The following is a 24,158-nucleotide window of genomic DNA, read 5'->3' as shown; positions in this document are numbered from 1 at the left end:
GAGCCAGCCCAAGGTACAGGAGTGAACTGGGTGGTGTTGCCTCTGACCCTCTTGGCCTCCTTAAGGCCTCCTCCCTTTCTCAGACCTTCCAAGCTACCTAGCTCAGGAGACTGGGCCCTGCAAAGATGAGAGCTGCAGTAAACCTACTAGTATTTCCCCTGGGACTTTCAGAAGGCAGAGTTCTAAACCACAAGAGACTCTAGAACTTTTTGGAGGCGTCCATGGGGAGTCTCTTTTAGAATCAGGATCTTTGGAAACATCTTATTGTACACACACACACACAGAAAGAGAATTAAAAAACAGAAACATGCTCTTTGCTGAACAATGGCAAAAGGAAAACCACCTTTTGTAAAGAGTAATTATAAAAATGTATGAGTAGAAAAAAGCATTTCCTATTATAGGTCTTTTTAAGGGATAGATGTAATCAAGACCTTTTTTGAGAAGCCATCTTCTGGCCTTTGGGCCACTGTACCAGTAGTTTCAGCTAAACTGGTACTATTAAGGGCTTGCTGTATGCCAGGCATTGTTCTAATTTCTTTGCATGTTTCACCTGAATTTCCATAATCTTTTAGCAATTCTTAATATTAATAACCTCATCCCTATTTTATGGATGAGGATACTAAGGCAGAGAGAGGGTAAATTCATTCCTCAAGGCACCACAGAGAGCAAGTAGAGGAGCCAAGATTCAAACCCAGGTGTCTTAACTCCAGAACTCTTTTAATACTACATAATATGGTGTGACTACTCTTATTATAAAAAATTTCCCTTAAAAATTTACATTTTTGGCCGGGCGCGGTGGCTCACGCTTGTAATCCCAGCACTTTGGGAGGCCGAGGCGGGCGGATCACGAGGTCAGGAGATCGAGACCATCCTGGCTAACACGGTGAAACCCCGTCTCTACTAAAAATACAAAAAAATTAGCCGGGCGTGGTGGCGGGCGCCTGTAGTCCCAGCTACTCGGGAGGCTGAGGCAGGAGAATGGCGTGAACCTGGGAGGCGGAGCTTGCAGTGAGCCGAGATTGCGCCACTGCACTCCCACCTGGGCCACAGAGCGAGACTCCGTCTCAAAAAAAAAAAAAAAAAAAAAAATTTACATTTTTTTAAAAGGAAAAAATGGATTGTTCATACATCAGTGCACTCCTATATATAATTTATAATACGAATAATGTGCACATGGTTAGAGAAGCCAAATTGCTCAGAAAGATAATAAAATGAAAATAAGAGTCTCTTTATATCCACACTTTCCTGTTCCCAAGAGACACCGCTATTAACAGATCATTTTATCCCTCAAGAAAAATGTTCTGTGCATATGGCAGGTTACATATTATCTAAAGATTTATTCACAAAAAAAGCAGACTTGCCATACCCACTTTTCTGCATCTTGTTTTTCTCATCTAGTAACAGGTGTTTGATATCTTTTCACTTCGACACACCCAGGATCATGTCACTCCTTTTCACGATGGCGGAGTATTCTCTTAGGCTGCTGCTATACCACCTGATTTAACCAGTCACTGTCGATGGACAACTAGGTTGTCTTTTTGGATCCTTATGTGCAGAATAAATTCCTAGCAGTACAGTTTTCTTTTTTATGCATGTAGCATAATTCACACTCTTACTAACTCTGTTTTCACAAACCCTTAATGGAGCTGGTATTATCAGACTCTTTTGCCTATCAGATAGATGAAAACAGTCTCCTTACCTTCATTTATATTTTTAGTGGTGTTGATAAATTATATGGCTTTTCATGAGTATCAGCCATTTGTTTTTCTTTTTCTTTCATCTGCCTAATATGTCCTTGGCCCATTTTTCTGTTAGTTTTTTTTTTTTTCTAATTTTATGAGCTTCTGGTAAATTAAGGAGATTAACCTTTTATCATGTGTTAGAAATATTTTTTCAGTGTATCTATTTGTCTTTGACCTTGCTATTTTCCCATAAGCAGTTTCATTTCATATAGTTGGATTTATCAATACAAATTATTCACTTCTAAATACTTTAAGTTTGAACTTCTCTTCTTTTGTGTTTAGCTGTTTATGTGTGTGTGTGTGTTATTTTAAGTATATGGCAGCTCCGTCAATTAAACATCAATCAGAATGAAGAAAACTATTTTCTGAAACTATAATATAAATGGAAATTACATTTACAATTTTTCAAGAATACTTTTATTCTCAAAATGCAAAAAAAAAAACACCTGTATATGTATCTTATCAATGTATGGCTCATTTAACCAAATATTCCCTTTCTGAGATAAATACCTATACGGGGTTCAGGAAAGTAATTTGCAAAAACTAAAACAAAAACCCTTTTTAGGCTGTGAAGCGTTTCTTGGATACCTTGGCTGGGCCCCCCAAGCCTTAGCAGTTAAGAGTCCATTCTACTGAATGTACTTTAGAGCAGCTTCTTTTAATAGTGTCTTCTATAATTGCGTGTGTCCGTTGCTCCTGCTGCTCCTTAATAGCTGTGCTTAGCTTCAGTGAAAATGGTTCCTCTCTCCTCCCTGGAGACCTGTACATTTAAAAATATGTGTATTTTGGGGGGATGGGTGGAGAAGGAGGATGGGAGAGAAGGGTGGGAACTAGGTGGGTTTTTTTTTTTAATTTACTGCCTCTATTTGAGGTGGTCCAACCTGAATTAATTTGATAGCTTTGCAGTGATAAAAGATAAGAGAGGGCTTGGGGTTACTTAAATCAGTGTTTTAGAATGGCTTAATACTGCTTAGTAGATCTCAGGATTGTTCTATACTGTGATGTTCTGATGTATGAGGACTGCTCCATATCTTGAAAACAGGCAAAATTAATAATGTCCTAAGAGACCAGATTACAGGCAGTGCTTTAAAAATAAGTCTAGTTAGTTATCAGTTTGGGCACGTATTCTTTTTGTTTTCATTTTTCCTTCCTTTTCTAATTCCCTGGCGTTAGCATACATGCACAGAACGCTTATTATCCTAACGTTATAAATAAAAGGAATATCTCTCAAAAGAGTTCAGCAGTGCTATGAAAACAAAAAACTGCCAGAACTTCTGGAGGCCACTGGGCATAGGTTCTTGAGAGTTGGAAAAGTGCCTTCTGCAGCAGGATGCTTAGTCACCAAGCGTTTGGCATCAGAGCATTATCTTAAAGGTCATCAAATTCATCCTGTCTGTTCAGTCCTGGGATAACACTCCACTAACCTGGCAGCTGATCGAAAACAATATTGATGAGGAACAAAGACTGTTGATGAGGATGACATTCATTCTTTACAAGCAACCCATGAAGCAGGTGCTATGAGTATCATCTTTATTTAACCAATTAGGAAACTGGGACACAGAGAAGTGAAGTAACTTGGCTAAAACTTTCCACCTAATATGGGTTAGGAGCAGGCTTTGAATCCAGGCTGTCTAGCTGAGGTCCTACGTTTTTTCTTTTTGTTTGTTTTGTTTTTTGTTTTAGTTTTATTTTTTGAGATGGAGTCTTGCTCTGTCACCCAGGCTGGAGTGCAGTGGCATGATCTTGGCTCACTGCAACCTCCAACTCCCTGGTTCAAGCAATTCTCCTGCCTCAGCTTCCCAAGTAGCTAGGATTACAGGCGCTCACCACCACACCCAGCTAATTTTTGTATTTTTAGTAGAGACAGGGTTTTGCCATGTTGGCCAGGCTGGTTTCGAACTCCTGACCTCAGGTGATCCACTCACCTTGGCCTCCCAAAGTGCTGGGATTACAAGCGTGAGCCACCATGCCCAGCCGAGTTTCTATGTTTTTAGGTTAGGTACTCTGTGCGTGATTTTAATAACCCCAAAGAGCACTGAAAACAATACCTTAGTTGCATACACTGTTTAAAGGAAATGAATAAAGAATGCCTCTCCTTCCTTGTATCTTTGTTGCCAACTAATAGATAAATGGCGGCGGGGGCGGGGGGTGTGATTAGGTCTCCAGCTTTTCTCTTAGTTATTTTGCTTAGTACATGAAGAAAGTATATCAGATGATGTATTACATTTAGCTTTCCTGTGTATCCCTTAAAAAGAGTTCACTGATTTTTACACTGCATTAACCAGGTTACGTTCTTTAAATTCATGAACTGAAATAGTTGTGAAGTAGTATATACATTTTTCACTATCGTACTATTCAAATAGGCCTGAATGCAGCTGCAGGGACCCGAATGTGCCTTCTAATCTCTTTCAGATGTACAGAAGGTAAGAGAGGAAAGTGCTGAAACAAAGTGACCTTAGGCCCTGCAAATACATAAAAGTCAGTATATTGAGTTCCAGTAGCAATAAAATATAGAACAAAGTTGTCCTTTCAGTTCAGAGAACATAATTACCACAGATCAGAAGCACCGTGGGGTAACAATGGATTTTCCGCAATTATCTGTTCCTGTTCTAGAATTTCTGCTTTTAGGCAAGCAGTTCAATTATAATCGATGGGCTTTTGTGAAAGGAATGAAAGCTGAGTGTTTTTCAGAGTAATAATTTCACATTAGAAAATAGTATCTTAAACCTGATGGCTGTAACTGAAGGATCTATTTTTGAAAATCACCTACCTTTATCATTTAATAACCAACCTGATAATTTACTAGCAAACAAAGCTGGTTGAGTTAGGCCGTCAGGAATCTCATGCTGCTGGACTGCATTACCAATCATGAATCCTTCAGATTGTAAACTACTACAGTTTAACCAGTGTATTCCTTAGAGTCAACTGATTAAGTTTGGGGAGCTTCTAGGAGCTCATTACATCATTAGACAAAGTCTCTGCAATCCAGAAGGAATAGCTGGTCTCAGTTCTGATAAACTACCTTGCTAATCTTCCCAGAATTCTACTGGGAGCCAGGAGTCACTGCTGTCATTTGGCTAATGGGTCATTCTTGGTCTCTTTCCTAGAGACCTGGACTTGCTAGAGGCTGGAGTTCCTGAGAGCTCCTGGAAACCAGGGAAAGGATTTTTTCTTCTCTCTGCCTTGTGATTACCTACCTTCCTCTCTAGCAAAACTAACAGAGGCCATCAGAAAGAGAAATCTGTTCCCTAGTAGGCCAGAGTCTGGCCACATCTTGTACCTATGGTTCATGTTGACCTTTTAGGGAGATGGTAATGTATAGTTTCTTTAAGAACTTCTCCTGTTCCCCTGCTTCTTCCTACTGCCTTTCTGAGGGCAAAGCATAGTATGGGAGAAGTAGCATGAAGATTTGGTCCTGGACAGGATTTATCACCTATAAGCTTCAGACAAACAGCTTCAGTTTTCTCAATAGTAAAATAGTGAGATTAATGTCTATTTTACAAAGATGTCAATATTAAATAATATATAGCATAGAAAGTATCGTGAACAGGGCCTGGGACCTAGTAAACACTCAATAAATAGCCATTGTTATGATAATTATTGTTCACTGCTTGTTAGAAAATCAAGGATTAGGCTATTCATATTTTCTTTAGCTCAGAAATGTGAGCTGGCTCTGGGTTCTAGACCAGAAAAGGCACAAATTATGTGGTAGGAGTTGAGCAACAAGGTCAAATTAAACTGTATACCTAGACTTATTTTTCAGAAGCACATGGTACTTCACGTTTTTAAAAAATTCTTTTTCTTCTTCTCATTGTCTAGCTTGCCTCTTCCACCTCCCCTTACTTCCCCAGGCAGTGTATGGGAATGTTTCCATTATTACTCTTTCAGAACTACATATTTTTGTTAGAATGAATTTATATAAATTATTTTACTGCACAGCATATTTATATTATAATTACACACCCACCTGTTGTCTGTACTCAAAGTATCATGTGATCTTTGCAAACTAATGAACATCCCTACCTGTAATCCCACCCTGAAGCTAAAATTCCAAATTTCAGTGTAATTTACAGGTTCTATCACTGTTAAATTTCTGCTTTTCTGTTAAGGATCTATTCTTTAAAGAAAAACCAAAACTGCAGTCAGAGAAAGTCACCTCAGATAGTGCCAGTGCAGCAGTCTGGGAGCCCAGGCTTTGCTCTTTCCTGACTGCCTCTCATTGGTTAACTGTCTCCAAACCTAACTTGCCAAATTGAAGTATGAGTAGCTGACTACAGAAGCCCAAAGATAAACTCTCTTGGAAAAACTACTCTTGGACTGATAAGTATTTTATTTTTCTTTTGCTTGAAATAGGGTGAGCCCGTTGTTGTGGAGTGAGAGCCTCACATACGGGAGAACAGTGCATTTCTTGATGCACTTGGGTCACTGTTGACAGTGTCTGCAGGAAGACTGGCCTCTTTATGAAACCAGCCTTACTGTGCATCTTAGCTGTGTTTATGAAATGATGTTCTTGTACTGGGCCTTCTCTTGACTGCTTTGAGGAAAATGCTGTGAGCCTGGAAGCCCTGGAATCTTGGCACTTGCCAATAGTGTGCAAACGCAGGGAGCAGGGACCTGGAAGGCAGGGAACTGGCCAATGTGTTCTCTAGTTTCCTTTCCCTCACGCTTCTCTCTCCCCTGTTGTTTTTCAGGTAGTGAAGCTGATTTTAGCTCCTCGAGCAGCACAGGCAGCATTTCCGCTCCTGAGGTCCATATGTCGACTGCGGGAAGCAAGCGGTCTTCTTCTTCACGCAAGTAGGCACCATCTCCTGCTCTGTAATTAAGACGCTTTACACAGGTGACTCACCTGCACCTGTGCATCTGTAGAACCACCCGGATTACTGTCCGTTCATATTTTATTATTCAGTGAGGCTTTTTGTTTTGTTTTTTTACAGTGATTTTAAATTGGTAGTTTTTCCTGTCTTGCCAACTGTGGTCACATGGCTCACCTGTGTTTGTACATCCATGGCTGTCTCCCATCCAACCCTTGACTCTATGCCCACTCCTCCTGTCCCTTCTCTCTTTCCCTTACTCACCTGTGTACTCATCTGCATAGGAAGCTAGTGGTCTCCCACTTCCCTCCTACCTCCCCTCTGTGAAGCTATGAGTCTCTTAGCTGTGAAGCCTCTGACTTCACCCTTTTTTTCTTCTAGCTGGACTTCCATTTTTAACCTCTGTGAAGGAAGCAGCTACTCCCTGACCACTCCCAGCATTTACCTGGGGAAGGAGTGAAGAAAGTGTAGTAACGTTCATAGGCATGGTGGCCACCCCATAGAGCACACCAGCTGGGTGTGTGGGCTCTGAAACCAGGCTGCCTTGGCTCAAATGCCAGCACCACCAACTCCAGGCTGTGTGGCTCTGAGCAAGTTGTTTAACCACTCCATGCCTTGTTTACCTTATCTGTGAAATAGACCCAGCCACCTCAGAGGGTTTATTGTTAGGATTAAACAAGTTAATAAAAGTAAAATGCTGAGTCAGAGCATGGAGCATAGCAAGCATCAACCAATTCTCTCCATTGATGTTATTTGAATTGGTGGAGAGGACTATGAGACATGGGAGCCACTATGCACATTCAGTGGGAGGGACTGTAAGCCCCAGGATTCTGTGCTTGCCACCAGTGGCTTTGTTTATTCATTTAACAAGTATTTATTGAGCATCTACTATGAGGAAACAAAACTCCACAAAATTATATTCATTGTAGTAGGACAAGAAGGACAATAAATTGAAAAATAATATAATTATTTTTAAAAACACTCAGGGGAAGGAGATAGAGAGTAATGTGGTTTGTGGTATATTTTAGCTTGGTGGGTCCTAGGATACCTCAGTGGTGAACTGAGCTCTGAGCAGAGACTTAAAGAAAGCTATGGAGGGAGCCACAGAACGTGAGGGGACCTGGCTTCTGACTTTGTCACGTCACTTGATTCCCCTGGGCCACGGTATCCAAAAGACAGTTGTACTGTGTGACTTTTTAAGGTCTCTTCCTGGAGAAAATCTATTTAGTTTCCAAAAGCCTGCCTTTCCAGGACTCAGCAAGCAAATATTTTCTATTTCTCTTGGGTGAGCTGAAGATTTAGCAGATGTTTATAAGGCGACCTGAGACCCCCAGGGCACAGTTTTATCATTAAAAATACAGCTGAAGCCAGACAAACCTGTAACAAAAGAGTGAAGTCCGCAGTAATAAAGCACAATTGCTCTATCCCCAGCCCCCACCCACCACCACCATTTTGGCAATAAAGTGCCTCTGGGATTATAGGACATGAATGTAAACATTCTGTGTAAATCAGATGTGGCTTGCTCTAAGAATAAACCATTTATATAACCCACTCAAGAAATTATGACATACACATGGAACAAAGTATCAAACAATATAGAAAGGCAAAAAGATAAAAAAGGAAGGCCTGTAGATGAAGCCAACTTAAATATTTCAAAGGAATCAGTGTTTGTGGTTAAATTCCAAGGTTGTGTCAATAATACAGAGTGACTAAGAGAAAATATTCTAGTCTAGAATTCATGGTCAAAATTTGACATATTAAACATAAAATAGCCAAATATAATTATATGCAAATCAGATGAATGCTTCTGTTAGTATCTGTTATAGCCAAGCAATAATAGACTTCAAAGGTTTAACAAAAATTAATAGATGGAAAATTGAAAATGGCAGTGTTCTATCCATTATCCTCAGTTTTTAAAAATCTCAGCCATGCACAGTGGCTCATGCCTATAATCCCAGCACTTTTAGGAGGCCAAGGCGGATGGATCAACTGAGTTCAGGAGTTCAAGACCAGCCTGGCTAATATGGTGAAACCCCGTGTCTACTAAAAATACAAAAAAAAAAAAAATTAGCCGGGCATGTAGGTGGGTGCCTGTTATCCCAGCTACTCGTAAAGTTGAGGCAGGAGAATTGCTTGAACCTGAGAGGCGGAGGTTGCAGTGAGTCAAGATTGCACCACTGCACTCCAGTCCTGGGCAACAGAACAAGACTGTTTCAAATAAGTAAATAAATAAATAAAAGAATCTCACCCAGGCACAGAGTACCATCAGTAGATTTTGGTCATGGACTATCTCAGCAATGTCACATAAATTTTGTGTTCTGGAGGGCCACGCATGGGGGGGCAGCTCCTCTAGAGTAGCTGGGTATCTCTGCCAAACTCTGTAGTAGTTTGTGATCCTTTCAATTGGCTGCTTCCCCATGTAGTGAATGAATTTTCTCTGTGGAGAATTAGCTCCCTGAAGGAAGGCTAACAGGAAGATTGGTCAATCAGTGGGACATGTGAGGAACAGGTGGAGCTGGTGAGAATATTTTTGACGAGTTATTTTTAAAACAAAAACTTTAAAGGCTTACAGAGTATCTTGTCTCATAGAAGGGCAACTCTGCTGATATTTCTAAGGAATTATCTTTCTTAAACTAAAACATGAATCTGTTTGGAAGATAAAAATCAGACAGAAAAAGAAAAACCTTGGGATTTGGAGTCAGACAGACCTGGGATTGAGGTTAGCCTCCATTATTTATCAGGTGTATGACCCCAAGCCTCAGTCTCCTGTTTTGGGATATGGGATAATAATAGCATCTTACCTCACTGAGTTAAATGAGATGATATGTGTGAGTGCTTGACATGATGCCCAGAACTTAGTGAAAGCGTTGGTAAAAGGTGGTTTTTGTCAGTAGGGGTGAAAGTAGTACTAGGAGACATGGTACTGTTGCTGTTGCTGCTGCTGCTGCTGGTGGTGGTTATGATGGTAATCATGGTGGTAGTGATTATATTAGTCTGCTAGGGCTGCATAACCCAGTACCATAGACTGGATGGCCTAAACAACAGAAATGTATTTACTCACAGTTCTGGAAAAGGGAAGTCTGATACCAAGATGTCTGCAGGGTTGGCTTCTTCTGAGGCTCCTCTCCTTGGCTTGTAGTGGCCATCTTCTCCCTGTGTCTCTACAGCATCTTCCTTCTGTTTATGTCTGCTCAAATTCCTTCTTTGTATAAGGACACCAGTTAAACTGGATTAGGGCCCACCCTAACTGCCTCATTTTAACTTAATCACTTTTTAAAGCCCCATTATTCTGTGGTACTGGGAGTTAGGGCTTCAACATATCAATTTGCAGGGGGTGACACAGTTCAACCCTAGATCATGGTGATGATGGTGATGATGATGATGACGATGATGATGATATTACCTGAAGTCCAGAGCCATGGTCAGGGAATCGAAATTCACCTGAGTCACTCATGAGGTGTCATCTTCACTCCTCTGTCTATGACCTTCTAGTTACGTATTCAGGTTTGTAGAAGGGTTCAGGGTCAGCAGAATTTTCTTTCCTCTTTGTGGACTGCGTTTTTCTTGTCCACCAGACTGAAGGATCTGGGATGGGCTGAAGAGGACAGCATTGGGTTTCACAGTTCATGGCCATGACAAACATGGAATCTCAGTGTCTCCTTTGAAAATGTTTCCTATCAATGCCTATAATGAGTTTGCACCTATACATGTTAGCATTTGAACTACTAAATGAAGAGAACTGATATTTTTAAGCATGTTGCTTCTTTTTAAAAAGTTAGCTCTTACAAACTGTCTGATAATTTATTTCCTGATCAATATTCAGAAAGCACCTGAAACAGCGCCAGGGTCACAGAAGGTCCTCAGTGGAAGTTAACTCGTAATAAAATTCCCCAGGTCAAAATATGGGATAGCTCTTTACATTCCTGCCTAAGGTGTAATAGCTAATCTTCCATATTTCTCATAATCAGATTAAGAAATAGTCTGGTTGATGCCAGACTTAGAAGTGAAGCATGGAAAAGAAAATGCACACCAGGGTACATGTTCCTTTCAGCTACTCATGAAGTTCTTTCTACCATGGGCTGCTGAAGTTGGTTTTGTCACAAAGCCATCAGCCCATCTGTTCCGTATAAAGTGTCCTCTTCTCACGAAGAGAAGAGCGGCGTTCATTTGAATGATTTCAAAAGGAAATAACTTTAACTTTAGAACTTGGTTACGTTTTATTTATGTCTGATTTGCAAGGTTGACAGCCAGTTGAAATTATATTTGATTGTAAATAAGTGATCATGGTTTTGAAGCCAAGTGTACCCACATGCACACTTGCATTCACATTTACACACATTTCTCATTAAGATGTCAGTTGGATACAGCTGTAATTAAAATTGCAAAGAAAGGTTTGTCAGAAAGCAGTACTACTATATGAAAGCTATCTTGTTTTCTCTTTTTTTGCCATCAAGTAATATTCCTGACATAGAACTTTATCCTGTTTAAGTAATTTCAACATTCTCAAGATGCTTCCTTACACTACTGGGTGTCAAATCTCTGTCAGGATTAATGGTGAAGTTTGAACAAGTTTATCCTCTAATAATACTCTACAGTTGAGTTACCCTTAATAGCTTGTGGAATGTACTCACATGCATTCTTTGATTTGATTTTCACATCAATTCTGTGAGGAAGGTAGGAAAGGGGTGGGTGTGTGTGTGCATGTGTGTGTGTTTTGATCCCCATGTTAAGTGGCTCACTTGCCTAAGTTCCTACTAAGTGGCAGTGCCAATGACTCACACCTGGTTTATTTATTCAGCAGTCCTTTAGGGAACACTTACCATGTATCAAAAGTAGGAGGATAGAAAGAACAAGCTGTTTCTGCCCTCAAGGTTGCCCTAGCCTAGCAGGAAGGACAAATAAGTATGCAGTTGTGACGCCATGTGATAAGTCCAATGGTAGAAGTTTGCACAGAGTTTTAGGGAGCATTAAGGAGTGTGCCTACACTGGCCTAGGGAAGGAAGAATATAGAGAAGGCTCTTTAGAGTACGTTCCCATCAGTCTCAAAGTAGGAAGTATCCTGGTATCCAGGGGCTTAGAGAAGGGAGCAGGTGAACATTCTAATTAGAGGAGATTATGAGTTCAAAAACCTAAGGATGGTCAAGCATGGATCCTTCAGGAAACTGTAAGTGATTTGGAATGCTGTAGTACAGAGGGAGGAGGGAGGAGTGAGGAGTGGTGGAGGATGGGGTTGGATGGAGTAGTGGGATTGGACCTTGTGAGCCATCTTAAGGAGGCTGGCCTTTGTTCTGGAGGCAGTGGGGGACCATCGCAAGGCTTTGAGGAGGATAGTGAATCAGATTCCATTTTGAAAGGCCACTCCAGCCACAAGCCAACCTTCTACTGGAGGGAGCAAGGCAAGAGGCAGGAGAACCAAGATGGGGCTGTTACAGTATTTCAGCAGTTAAATGACAAAGGTTGTCTTAAGTCACTGGGGCTAGAAGAAAATGAAACAAAAATTTTAAGTAATCAAAATTACCAATGATGCATTTATGTGTGCTCTGTTTATCTTGCCCTGTTTTCTCCTCCTCCTGTATGGGGTACCACCTTCCCCCATCCTCCAAATGAACCGCATTAATTTTCTTACCCTGACATGAACCAAATGCAAATATTTCTAAACTGAAACAGGTGGACTAGAACAAAAACCATATCTTGAAAACAGCCTCCAAAATAAACAGCCTCCAAAATAAACCTGAGCTAAATCAATATTCTACATTGTGTATGTTCTTAGCAGGCTATTGGGTGTTATCCAAAAAAAGCTTTATGGTCAGAAACTATTTGAAAGAACAACAGAGGGAGAGGTTGCTTGTGCTGATGTCACAAGGAGAGAAAATACCAGGCAGGTGGGAAGAAGGCCGCTCCTAAGGACAGTCTACACGAATAATTGTATTGCGCCTTTCAACTCTATAAATTGGATTTCCTTAGATTTAAGGAGTAAGACATTAGCCCTTGGGCATCTGTAGCCCCAAGAATTTTAACATTTTTCATTCTTTTCTCCCAGTCGAGGTCCTCATGGGCGGAGTAATGGAGCTTCGTCACACAAGCCTGGCAGCAGCCCATCATCCCCGCGGGAAAAGGACCTTCTGTCCATGCTGTGCAGGAATCAGCTGAGCCCTGTCAATATCCATCCCAGTTATGCACCTTCTTCCCCAAGCAGTAGCAACTCAGGCTCCTACAAAGGAAGCGACTGTAGCCCCATCATGAGGTGAGTCCTGCTCACCTAATTCATGCATCTTAGTTTGTCCTACTTGGTAAGCTTTTCTTTAAAAAAGAAAAAAAAAAGTTATACAACTCTTGATCCCTTGCCTGATTCTACAAGACACTGCATTTTTCTTTCCCACATTCGGCTCATTCCTCAAGGGCTGCTGCAGAAAGAGCGCAAGCCACAATTTCTAACAAGGCACAGCAATCTAAGCAGTTCCTGAATAGGGAGAGAAAATGCCACAGAGGCAGCAGGAGGCTGAGGCAGGAGAATTGCTTGAACCTGGGAGGCAGAGGTTCCAGTGAACCGAGATCACGCCACTGAACTCCAGCCTGGGCAACAGAGCAAGACTCCATCTCAAACAAACAAACAAACAAAAACAACTTAAGATGATTCTGTAGGCACCTGTTGCTACAGGGGTGTGTGAAAGGTGGGGAGGGTGTCCAACGCAGTCTGGAGCGATCAGGGGTGGCCTCCCTGAGAAAGTGAAATGGAATTGAGGTCTGAAGAGCAAGCAACAAGTTAATTCATATGAGATTGTAGGGAGTGTGGAGCAGAAAGAAGGAACTGCATTTCCAAAGAGGCCACGACAGGAGGACTGGATGGTGGGCATGGACACAGGTCATCTTGGAGGCAGGCAGGTGCTCAGGGAGCTGGCAGCATAGTGGCTGGGACTGGGTCCAGAGTCAGGGAAGGAGCTGGCTGCCCTCCTCCTTCGGCCTTCTTCCTGCTGGGCATCCCTATTCTCGTCAGTCAGCTCTCTTACAGCAGGGATTCCCAGCTCCCAGCCAGGCCTGAGAGGGGCCAAGATTCCAGCAAGGGCTGTTTTGTAAAACATTGAGCCTGTCTTACAAAACACACTGGGGAGAGTTAAGTAGAGGAAGAAACTTCTTCCCTTCAGAAGAAGGATCTTTCCATTTCCTCCAAACTGGCATACTCACAGCAGGGATTGATTTTAGAACAACTTGCATTCAGCAAATAGCCATCAGGATCTTTAGGCAGTGGCACACTGTGCAGAAAGTTAGGTCCTCTGGCTGGCTTCCTTCTCTTCTGCCCGGGCCCATCCCCTGACCCTCACCCACTGTGCTGCATGTTACTCTGAACTGACAGCTCAGGCACCTGGACAATGGTGCATTATTTTGTATGAGAACATTCCTAAGCCATAGAGAATTCTCCTCCTCCACGGTCCCTATTCTCTCCATAAATACACCAATACCCCCTTCAATCTTCAAAGTAATTAACAGTCCTAAGATCGGCAATTCTATTACAGCTCACCTTCTGAAGTGAGGTCACCCATTATTGAGGTTTAAGACCCCAGCACACAGCTACCATTCCTTCTCAAGCTGTTAGCTGTGTCTGGGTCAATGTGGGTGGCTATAACAAAGTACTCTAGATGTTGGTCCAAATCTTTCGAGAACCATGGGCTACATACTGTAGGTTTAGGTCTGAGATCAGGGTGCCAGCAAGGTCTGGTTCTGGGAAGGGCTGTCTTCTGGGCTGCAGACTGCTGACCTCTTAATGTATCCTCACAGGGTGGAAAAAGAAAGCTAGAAAGCTCTCTGGGGTTCCTTTTATAAGAGCATTAATCCCATTTATGAAGGCTTCACCCTTATGGGCTAATTCCCAAAGTCGTCACCACCTAATACCGTCATATTGGGGTAAGAAGTTCAACATATGAATTCTGGAGGGACACAGACATTCAGTTGATAACACTCTGTGTTACTCTTCTTTTTATAGAAAAGGAAACGGCAAAAAGTAACATTTCATTACTTGGATTGTTTCAGGCGTTCTGGAAGGTACATGTCTTGCGGTGAAAATCATGGTGTCAGACCCCCAAACCCAGAGCAGTATTTGACTCCACTGCAGCAGAAAGAGGTGACAGTGAGACACCTCAAAACCAAGCTGAAGGAATCTGAGCGCCGACTCCATGAAAGGTGAATCTGCCTTCCTTGAACGGTGGGGTGTAGGACAACTTCTTTCTCCATAAAATGAAATATGAACCCAAACTATAGAAAGATAGAAAAGAAAAAATGATTGTATTCAATTTTGGTCAAATTTTTAAAGTCAGCCTCTGAAAAGAGTCATTTCATAACTCTGTGTGATATGGCTGTTTCAGGAGTTCAGGGAGGCCCGTAGGTTAGAGGGGAACCTTTGTTTTTCGTTGTTGTTGTCGTTTTTTGTTGTTGTTGTTTTGCAGTGTATACAGCTTTGATGTGAAATAATCAGGTGTGTGCATGACTATTTTTAAATGGCAAAAACACGTGCGGGAACAATCCCATACTTCCAGCAGAATGGGTCACAACCGTGGACCAATTAAGCCGTGTTTATATCCGTGCATGAATGGATATCTGTGTGCATTGTGATTCCTGCATGCTATTTCTGTGCCGAAGGAAGGGGCTCATTGTTCTTGGCCAAGTGTTAAGGCTGAAAAAAAAAAAAAGCCCATGCTTAAGAGATCTTATCTGAGGGAGAAGACTTTTGACATCTGGGCAGCAGGCCAGTTTTTCTGCTTGATCATTTTCCCCTGGAACATTTTGGAACAGACCAGGAAAGCTCTGACCAGGGTAGCTGTGAGCTCAGGGTGAGGGTGGCATGTGCATTCTCTAAGAGTCTGGGCTACCTGATCAGCCCAAACCTCCTCTTCTGCTGCCACAAAGATATAAAGAAAACTCAATACCTTGGTTGCTAAAACTGTGGGCAGGTAAGGGTGCAGACTGCGAGGAAGGGAAATTTTTCATCTTCCGAATTAATCTGGCTCATCATCTGTCTGAAATAGACTTGAGACCCAAACTCCCCTCTGGGGTGAGTCAGACCTTATGTCTGGAAGTGTTTGGTCTGTGATTTGCAGAGTCCATGGGAGGATTGGAGCACTCGAGGAAGGAATGGGAATGCAGCAAAACTTGGGAAAATATTCTAGCCTAAACTTAAATGAGCAATATTGATGTCTCTTCATATATATGAGGATCCTGACTACCCTATCTTCATATCCACTGAGAATGTAAGGACTGAATATGAAAAAATTATATATAAGAAAGAATTTATATACAAAGATCTTGAAATAGGGTTGTCCTGTGAAGGATCTGAAAAATAGGATAGATTCTCCTTAGTGTAGGATGAATTCAATATTATCCTACCTGAGAGGAGACAGAATAAGCAGCTTGTCATCATGTAAAGTCCCTGCCACGTGTAGCATTTTATTATTTCAAAAATGTTTATCATTGGAATACCATATGAACAATTTAGCAAGGCTAAAACTTATCAGTCTACCTTCTGTCTTAGGTAATTAAAAGTGAACTGGCCTTCCACAAACTATAGACATTTGGAAAGGGTAGGATATGGAGATAAAAACAGGCTAACAGATGCTAAGATGTTCTAATAATAAAGTTTCAAATATTAAGGATTGAGTAGAAGATAAGACTTGTAACACAGTGCAATATCCGACCCATAATGAGTACTCAAAAAAAATTGTGGTAGCTATTTTGATTCTGATTCTGATTACTATTATTACTTTAGCCATTTTACAAGTAAAGAGAAAGTTCACAGCTAATCTCCGCCAAAGAGAAAATGTACTGCTTCTTTCAGTTTAGGCTGGAGTGTTTTCTCAAGTTTTTCTGTGTTCTCTTGAGTTCCCTGCATTGAAAACTGATTTCACATCTGTATTTCAAGTGGAAGAGTATGAGCTCTTGGCTCTGTGCCAGAACTGCCTGAACTGCCTGTTGCCCAGTTGAAAGTTTTTTTTTTTTTTTTTTTTTTTTTTTTAATTAACCATGCTTGTCTTGGCACTCTAGGGAAAGTGAAATCGTGGAGCTTAAGTCCCAGCTGGCCCGCATGCGAGAGGACTGGATTGAGGAGGAGTGTCACCGGGTAGAGGCCCAGTTGGCACTCAAAGAAGCCAGGAAAGAGATTAAACAGCTCAAACAGGTCATCGAAACCATGCGGAGCAGCTTGGCTGATAAAGATAAAGGCATTCAGAAATATTTTGTGGACATAAACATCCAAAACAAGAAGCTGGAGTCTCTCCTTCAGAGCATGGAGATGGCACACAGTGGCTCTCTGAGGGACGAACTGTGCCTAGACTTTCCATGTGATTCCCCAGAGAAGAGCTTAACCCTCAACCCCCCTCTTGACACAATGGCAGATGGGTTATCTCTGGAAGAGCAGGTCACGGGGGAAGGGGCTGACAGGGAGCTACTGGTAGGAGATAGCATAGCCAACAGCACAGATTTGTTCGATGAGATAGTGACAGCCACCACCACAGAATCTGGTGACCTGGAGCTTGTGCATTCCACCCCTGGGGCTAACGTCCTGGAGCTGCTGCCCATAGTCATGGGTCAGGAGGAGGGCAGTGTGGTGGTGGAGCGAGCCGTTCAGACCGACGTGGTGCCCTACAGCCCAGCCATCTCAGAGCTCATTCAGAGTGTGCTGCAGAAGCTCCAGGACCCCTGTCCCTCGAGCTTGGCGTCCCCTGATGAGTCTGAACCAGACTCGATGGAGAGCTTCCCAGAGTCCCTCTCTGCCTTAGTGGTTGATTTAACTCCAAGAAATCCAAACTCAGCCATCCTTTTGTCTCCCGTGGAGACCCCCTACGCCAATGTGGATGCAGAAGTTCATGCAAACCGCCTCATGAGAGAGCTGGATTTTGCAGCCTGCGTGGAAGAGAGGTTGGATGGTGTCATCCCACTGGCTCGCGGGGGCGTCGTGAGGCAGTACTGGAGCAGCAGCTTCCTGGTGGATCTCCTGGCTGTGGCTGCCCCCGTGGTCCCCACGGTTCTGTGGGCATTCAGTACTCAGAGAGGGGGAACGGATCCTGTGTATAACATCGGGGCCTTGCTCAGGGGCTGTTGCGTGGTTGCCCTGCATTCGCTCCGCCGCACCGCCTTCCGTATCAAAACCTAAATAGAAGTTGTTGTTACCGTGTGCCAATGTGTCCCATGTGGGTTGTGCCAGGTAGAGAAACAGGAAGTCAATCATCTGTGACAGTCTCTATTCTGTCGTTTTGCTCCTTGGTATTTGATTTGCACTATATTTAGTTGAAGCCTGTTCACTGTTTAAAACCGGAGGTATCTTCAAAGGCATGGAGACCTGGTTCCAGTAAATGTCCCACCAGTGGGGTATAGAAAGCATGCTCATGACCCTGCCGTGTCGTCTGAGGTACCCGTTCTTATCCTAGTGGTTCAGGAAGAGAAAACGCAGTTTGCACTTTCAAGACAGCTTCTCTAAGGCTGGCATGTTATCTCCTTGCTTTGCTTTTTGCCGTTTTAAAATGTGTAATTGTTCCAGCATTCCAATGGTCTTGTGCATAGCAGGGGACTGTAACCAAAAATAAACATGTATTTGTGTAATTGGTTTGAAGAAGTCTTGAATAGCTCTTTACTGTCTTACTTGGGGTTGATAAGATTTGAGTGTTTGCAATTTTTTACTAAATGTAGCTCCAAAGTCTTAAATGGCTTGTTTGTTCTTAAACTGTTAATTGATGAAACTGTGCATAAGTTTACAATGTACTAACTTATTTTGCTTATTATATATAGTGTTTTATTGGAAATTGTAACCACACACTTCAGCATGATGAAAATAAAGATTAGTGTTTCCATTTAAATAAATGTTTTATCCTCCCATAAAATAATAATTATTTCTGTGATTTTACTTCTATGTATAAGAAAGACAATGAATAGCAGATCTTACATCTTTATCAATAGGGGGTCTGTAAAAATTGAATTAAATTAGGAAGAGGGAAAAAGAGTTAGTTATTAAAGAAAATGAAGATTTCCTACCCTTACTTAAAAAGCATCATTTCTGAATAAAAGTAGATTTGTTTACTTTTAAATTGCCCATACACTATTTTGTCCATATGTTTATGCAGTAAGTACATCTTGAGTGTTTTCAGGAACATTGGGTTGATCTAAGCATGCTAGGTGTTCAGGAGAGGGAGAATATGGTAGTGCCATATAGCTTCCTTCCCCAGAATGATAGGATGAGGGTGGGTGGCTGGGAAGGGATGAGAAGGTATTTGATCTATGTTCATCTAGTGCTTACACCAAAATTTTGAGATTAGTATTTTACACATATCTTTGAGGGAACTAAGCCTCAAAGAGGAAAAATGTTCAGGATCTCAGAGCTCATCTCCAGAAGCCACGATTTCAAGTGTTTGCAAAAGCAAATGCCTTTTCTACTTTGCCACACAAAGGGAGGATAAAGAGGCTGGATAATACCCCAAGTTCTCATCCAGAAACTCTTCTTCCATAGCACTTAACACCTTTAAATATACCACCCTTTTACTTACAATGCCTTGGTTATTACCCATCTTTCCCACTGAGATATTAGCTCCATGAGGGCAGGGATCTTTGTTCTGTTTTGTTCACAGCTGTATGTCAAGAACCTAGAACAAATGAAAGAATAAGACTTAGAATTTGATAGCACAACAGGGAACCTATAATCAATAATAATTTAATTGCATATATTAAAATAATTAAAATAATATAATTGGATCGTTTCAACACAAAGGATGCTTGAGGGGATGGATACCCCATCTTCCATGATGTGACTATTGCATACACATTGCATGCCTGTACCAAAATAGCTCATGAGCCCTATATAGACACCTACTGGGTACCCACAAAATATTTTTAAAATATTTTAATTTTCTACAAATAAATTAAAATTTAACAATAACTTAGTACAGCACCTGGCACATAGTGGGAAGTCTAAAAATTGCTGTTGAATGAATTAATTAATCCAGCAAATATTTACCAGGTACTCCGATGCTAACTGGGCACTTTCCAGGATGGGTCTTAAAAAGTGAAGGAGACAGAAAAGGTTTCTGTCCTCAGGAAGCTTATGTTCTGTGTCTGTGAGGGACACAACATGCCATCAAATAAACAAAAGATGGTTTCAGATAGTGGTAAATGCCTCAAAGGAAATAAGGTATTTTGACCAAGTGTGGCAGAGGTGAAAGTAAGGAACACATCTCTGAAGAAATAACATTGGTGGGAATGGATGAAAAAGAGTCAATCATGCAAAAATATGGGACAAAATCTTGTTGCAAGAGGAACAAATGCAAAGGCCGTCAGACAGAAAGGACTCAGAGTGTGACAGGAGCATCCTGGAGGTCAGTGTGGCTGGAGCAGAGTGAGAAGGAAGGAGAAAGTTGGAGTAGACAAGAAGCTGCTTCATATGGGGCCACACAAACCATGGTAGAGGTTTCAGTTTATTCAAGAACGCCATTTAGGGGTCTATTGTAATGTCCAGATGAGAGATGATGCCAATTTGGAGGTGGAAGTAGATACAGAGTTTAAGTTGAAAAATTACAGATATAGCTTGAAGATAGAACTAATGTGATTTGCTGATGGATTAAATGTGGAGTAAGGAAAAGAAAAAAAATAAGGGTGACTCAGGTTTTTGGCTTGAGCAATTGGATCAATGGCGGCCATATTTGCTCAGAATGGGAAGAGTTCAAGAGAAACAAGTTTGGGAAAAATAAAACTGAGATGTCTATTAAAACATCTATGTGAAGATATCAAGAGTAACTGCATATATAAATGTGAAAATCAAGGGAGCTGTCAGGACTAGACTTATAACATTGAACCTTTCTGGCATTTGTGTGGTAATTAAAACCATGGGAACAAGTGAGGTCATCCAGGAAGAGTGTAGAGAAGGAAAAAAGGTCAAAAATGGATTTCTGAGGTACTTCTATATTTAGATAGAGGTGGAGGATGAAGAACCAACAAAACAGCCAGAGAAATGACAGCCCAAAATGTAGGAGCAAAACTAGGTGATTAGTAGTATAAAAACCAAGAGAAGAGAGTAATTCAAGAAGAATGGAGCAGTCAATTGTGTTGAAGTCCCACCAAGAGATTAATATGAGAATAGTTACATATTCACCGGCTTTGACAGCAAGGTCTTAATGACTGTGTCAACATCATTCCTTGGAGAAATGGGGATGGGAGGCCAATTGGAGCAGGTTGAAGAGTGAATGGAAGCGAGAAAGTGAAATATGTGCTGCTGAATTTTTTTGTTTTATTAAGTTTTACAATTAAGGAGAATAGGAAATTGAGTGGTAGTTAAAAGGAGACATAAGGTCAAAGGTTAATTTTTCAATATTGAGAAGAGACAGAACATGTTTGTATGCTTTTGTTATTAGGCCAATGAAGAAAAACAAATTAACGACTTAGCAGGGAAAAAATAAGAAAAAATTATAAATTAATTGAAGAAGGAGAGCCTTTGAAAAGAAGGGATAGGATCCAGGGCATGGGAATGTGTGTGTGAGGAGAGATGGTTTGTCTCTGATAGGACATTCCTATTGGAATACACACGTGTCTCAAGCACACACATTTGTATTTACATGTCTTGCAGCTCTAGTCAGCAGTAGAAGGATTTGTTTGAAATGGAAGGGAAACTATTTCTGAATAATCGGAAGTGTCCTGAAATAATGAGCCATGCTGACTCAGGTCCCTTCCTGTAGTCCAGCCCAGATCAATACTTAGATACTGGTATCTTCCTTAAAGTCCCTCCTTGTGCTTATTTGCAGTCATTGCTAAAAGCATTTTTACTTTAAAAAGATTATAAGCCTGTTTTGAGTATCTGCTTGTTTCCATAGAAACAAATATAACTACACAAACTCAGCATTGTTCTCCATCAATTCAAGTTGGAGGGAAAGGATAGGCTCTGGTTAGAAAGAATTCTCCACAAACCACAAATATTTATTAATTGTCAGATTGGATGTAGCTGATCACCAATAGCAAATAGTTTTATTGTCTTAATGTCCTATATCCTCCTTTACATAAACCAAAAGATTCAAACAACCCATTGGAGACACTGGACACCCCCTCACCCTCCCTCTCCTGCTTCTTTAGGGTTTCAGCTGTATAGTCTGTGGAAAATTACTGCTTTTATTCAGAACAGTCTCTCACAAATGAGTCCCTTGGAGTAAATAAAAGATGGAACATGTTTGCCTTTTGGAAGCCCAAGGCATTGGCTGGTTTTGTGGACAGGATGATCTGATCCCATAGAAAGAAGTGCCTCGAAGTTGCTTTCAGTAATTTGAGTGCCTATGGTGTACAAACAGGCAGGAAAATGAAAAAAAAACGAGAACAATTCCACTCTATTGAACAAATTGCTGTCCCATCAAAGCAAATGTTAAACATTTCCTACAGTTATGTGTGCAAACATTCCAATTTATAAGAAAAGATTTTTCCCAAAGGGATATGTTGACCTTTCCAAGTTGAGCTGTTCAGAAAAGAGGGGAAAAAATGCCATGCACTCAGATGCCAAGCGTTTCTGACATTTGTGGCAGAAGAAAAAGGAAGACTGTGATTTGCATTAATCTTTGGCCCTGCCTAAGTAGTGGTTGGGTCTGATATGTTTTCCTCTTGAGGGTTTTTCATTTTAAAAGATTTGGGGTAGTTTCCCATTTCCATTTTGGGTCAGTGAGCACTTGAAAAAATATTATTTCCTTCCAATCTTGCCGGCAAAATGTGCACAATGAGGCAGTAGCCTAGGAAATTAATAGTTTATAACAAATCTTGAAAGAATGTCAACAAACTCTCAATTGTCCTGAACAAAAACAATTAGAAAGTCCAAATAGAATAAAACAGGCTTATATCAGGTAATTATTTTAAACCCACTGGATGCACTGCTGTGACCACTGATTTTCCCACAATCATAATGATTGTTATAACTAATGGTTACAATAATAACTTCAAAGAATTTTAAAATTTAAAAAAGGTTTAAGTTCTACTTAGAAGACCTTTTGTTAGAAGGTTGAAATATTTTTAGTAAGCATTCAAGTTTGTTAAAAGATGTACAACTTTAATAAGTATTTTAAACACTCCAATATATAAAACACATACAAATGACTGCACAGGCGGGAAGCCCTGCCATTGGCCTCCCCCTGGCCCCCTGCGGGGGTCCTGGTATTACTTCTGAGAAGAGCTTGCATGTCATTTCCCTATATACCAGGTTCTTTGAAAACTTCCAGTTCATGTAAGATCTCACGTATGAAAACTGTTACTTGAAATACTGCTCTGGTTAATGCTGAAGATATGTTTCTCTGTTGCCCTAAATAAGGAATGCTTAACAAAATTGTTTTCTAAACCTTTGTTACAAAATTTTGTCTGCCAGTGCTTTGTTGGTCTAACTATGAAGAGGACTCATTCTCTCTCCCTCAGATTATAGAAGCCACGTAAGTATCTGGGACTATCATGATACATATAAGATGACAATGTATTATAAAATCAAGTCTGACTCCCCTTGTGAATATTAAAGGTAGGTATCATGGCTTCTCTAATTTGATGGTGCAGTTAAGACCCTCTCTCCCCTTCCTCGCAATTAAAGTAGCTCACAATGTTTGAAATGGTTTGCCAGCCTCACTTTCTACAGTAAACAATAGGTGCTGGCATTTAAAACTGACCTTTAATTCTTCTGAACCAGCACATTATTTCTAGCTTGTTGGTTGTATACAGAAAATGAAAAATGAAAGCTGACAATAATTTTTACATCTCCCACTGGAAGCTGTACATGGACAAGTTTTAAAAATGATCGCCCGTGCACTGTCTCACTCCATAAGGGCTCCTTCTAATCAAGACAGATTAGGTAATTACGAGGTTCAGATGCACTGCAGAGCCTCACAAAGCAAAAAAAGCACTTGTATTTTCACATTTTAAACTTAAATGTGACAAGCTAAATATATCTATATTCTTATGCACATCTTCACTTAGCACTGCAATAAAATGCTGAGTTAATTTCAGAGGCCACTATATCTGACGATGGTGTTTTCTCCATAAAATAGGTAAGCACTGCGTTTATTCAGGAATAGTCAACAGGTTTGGAAATGGCATTGCTGTATAAGAATTCAAATTAAGGTTTGAATATTTTAACAAATAAAACTAATTATGGGCAGTAGTTAATATCTTATAAAGAGCCAAAATTGCTCCAAGAATAAGTCAACATACTGATCAGAGTATGTCCTTTGAATTTTCTATACAAGGAGATGTTTTCTTCTGTGCCATTCATTCTCTCAACTAAATCCTAGACACTCACTAATAACTGACAAGGTCAGGGACAGTTTGTAGCAGGAAGGACTCTACGTACGATACTGATCTGCACATGCATAGAACCTGTGGCCTTGACCTCATTATAATTATGACCCAATCAAGTGAGCTAATTGGCTTATTTCTGCAGTTGTGTGAATATAAATCAATTTCATTTTGCCTTATCTGACCCAAATAAACTGCAAATATGAAATTATATGGCACTGATATTCAACTACAGTTGTCATTTATATGAAAATAAAAACCAAGCTAATTTTCTTCATATTTATTAAATTATTAGAAAACACAAATGGGTATTATCTACTATAATTTGTAATGC

General features: G+C 40.8%; 1 protein-coding gene across 20 annotated transcripts in view, besides 1 other annotated feature; it reads left to right on the top strand.

The window, feature by feature from the left end:
- The window catches only part of SYBU (syntabulin), a 117,623-nt gene extending 99,005 nt beyond the window's left edge, over positions 1 to 18,618 (top strand). For 18 of the 20 annotated variants that reach the window (NM_001099743.2, NM_001099744.2, NM_001099746.2 and 15 more), the window contains 4 exons: positions 6,434 to 6,536; positions 12,594 to 12,797; positions 14,579 to 14,728; positions 16,583 to 18,618. In NM_001099743.2, coding sequence (NP_001093213.1) covers positions 6,434 to 6,536; positions 12,594 to 12,797; positions 14,579 to 14,728; positions 16,583 to 17,690 — 1,565 coding nt within the window. In that variant the 3' untranslated portion in view covers positions 17,691 to 18,618. Of the gene's footprint in view, positions 1 to 6,433; positions 6,537 to 11,519; positions 11,718 to 12,593; positions 12,798 to 14,578; positions 14,729 to 16,582 lie in introns of those variants that run through there. The other 2 variants (NM_001099756.1, XM_011517154.3) reach the window with 2 other exon arrangements.
- Positions 17,546 to 17,775: an enhancer, noted in NCBI's record as "active region_27811". NCBI's record gives its function as "activates an Ori minimal core promoter by ATAC-STARR-seq in GM12878 lymphoblastoid cells {active_cell/tissue: GM12878}" and the evidence as "EXISTENCE:reporter gene assay evidence [ECO:0000049][PMID:35858748]".
- Positions 18,619 to 24,158: the final 5,540 nt, after the last annotated feature.

The sequence above is a fragment of the Homo sapiens genome, chromosome 8 (genome assembly GCF_000001405.40).
Source record: "Homo sapiens chromosome 8, GRCh38.p14 Primary Assembly".
In the NCBI taxonomy this organism is placed as follows: Eukaryota; Metazoa; Chordata; class Mammalia; order Primates; family Hominidae; genus Homo; species Homo sapiens.
The sequence above is the reverse complement of the archived record's forward strand: the minus strand, read 5'-3'. Positions and strand labels throughout refer to the sequence as shown.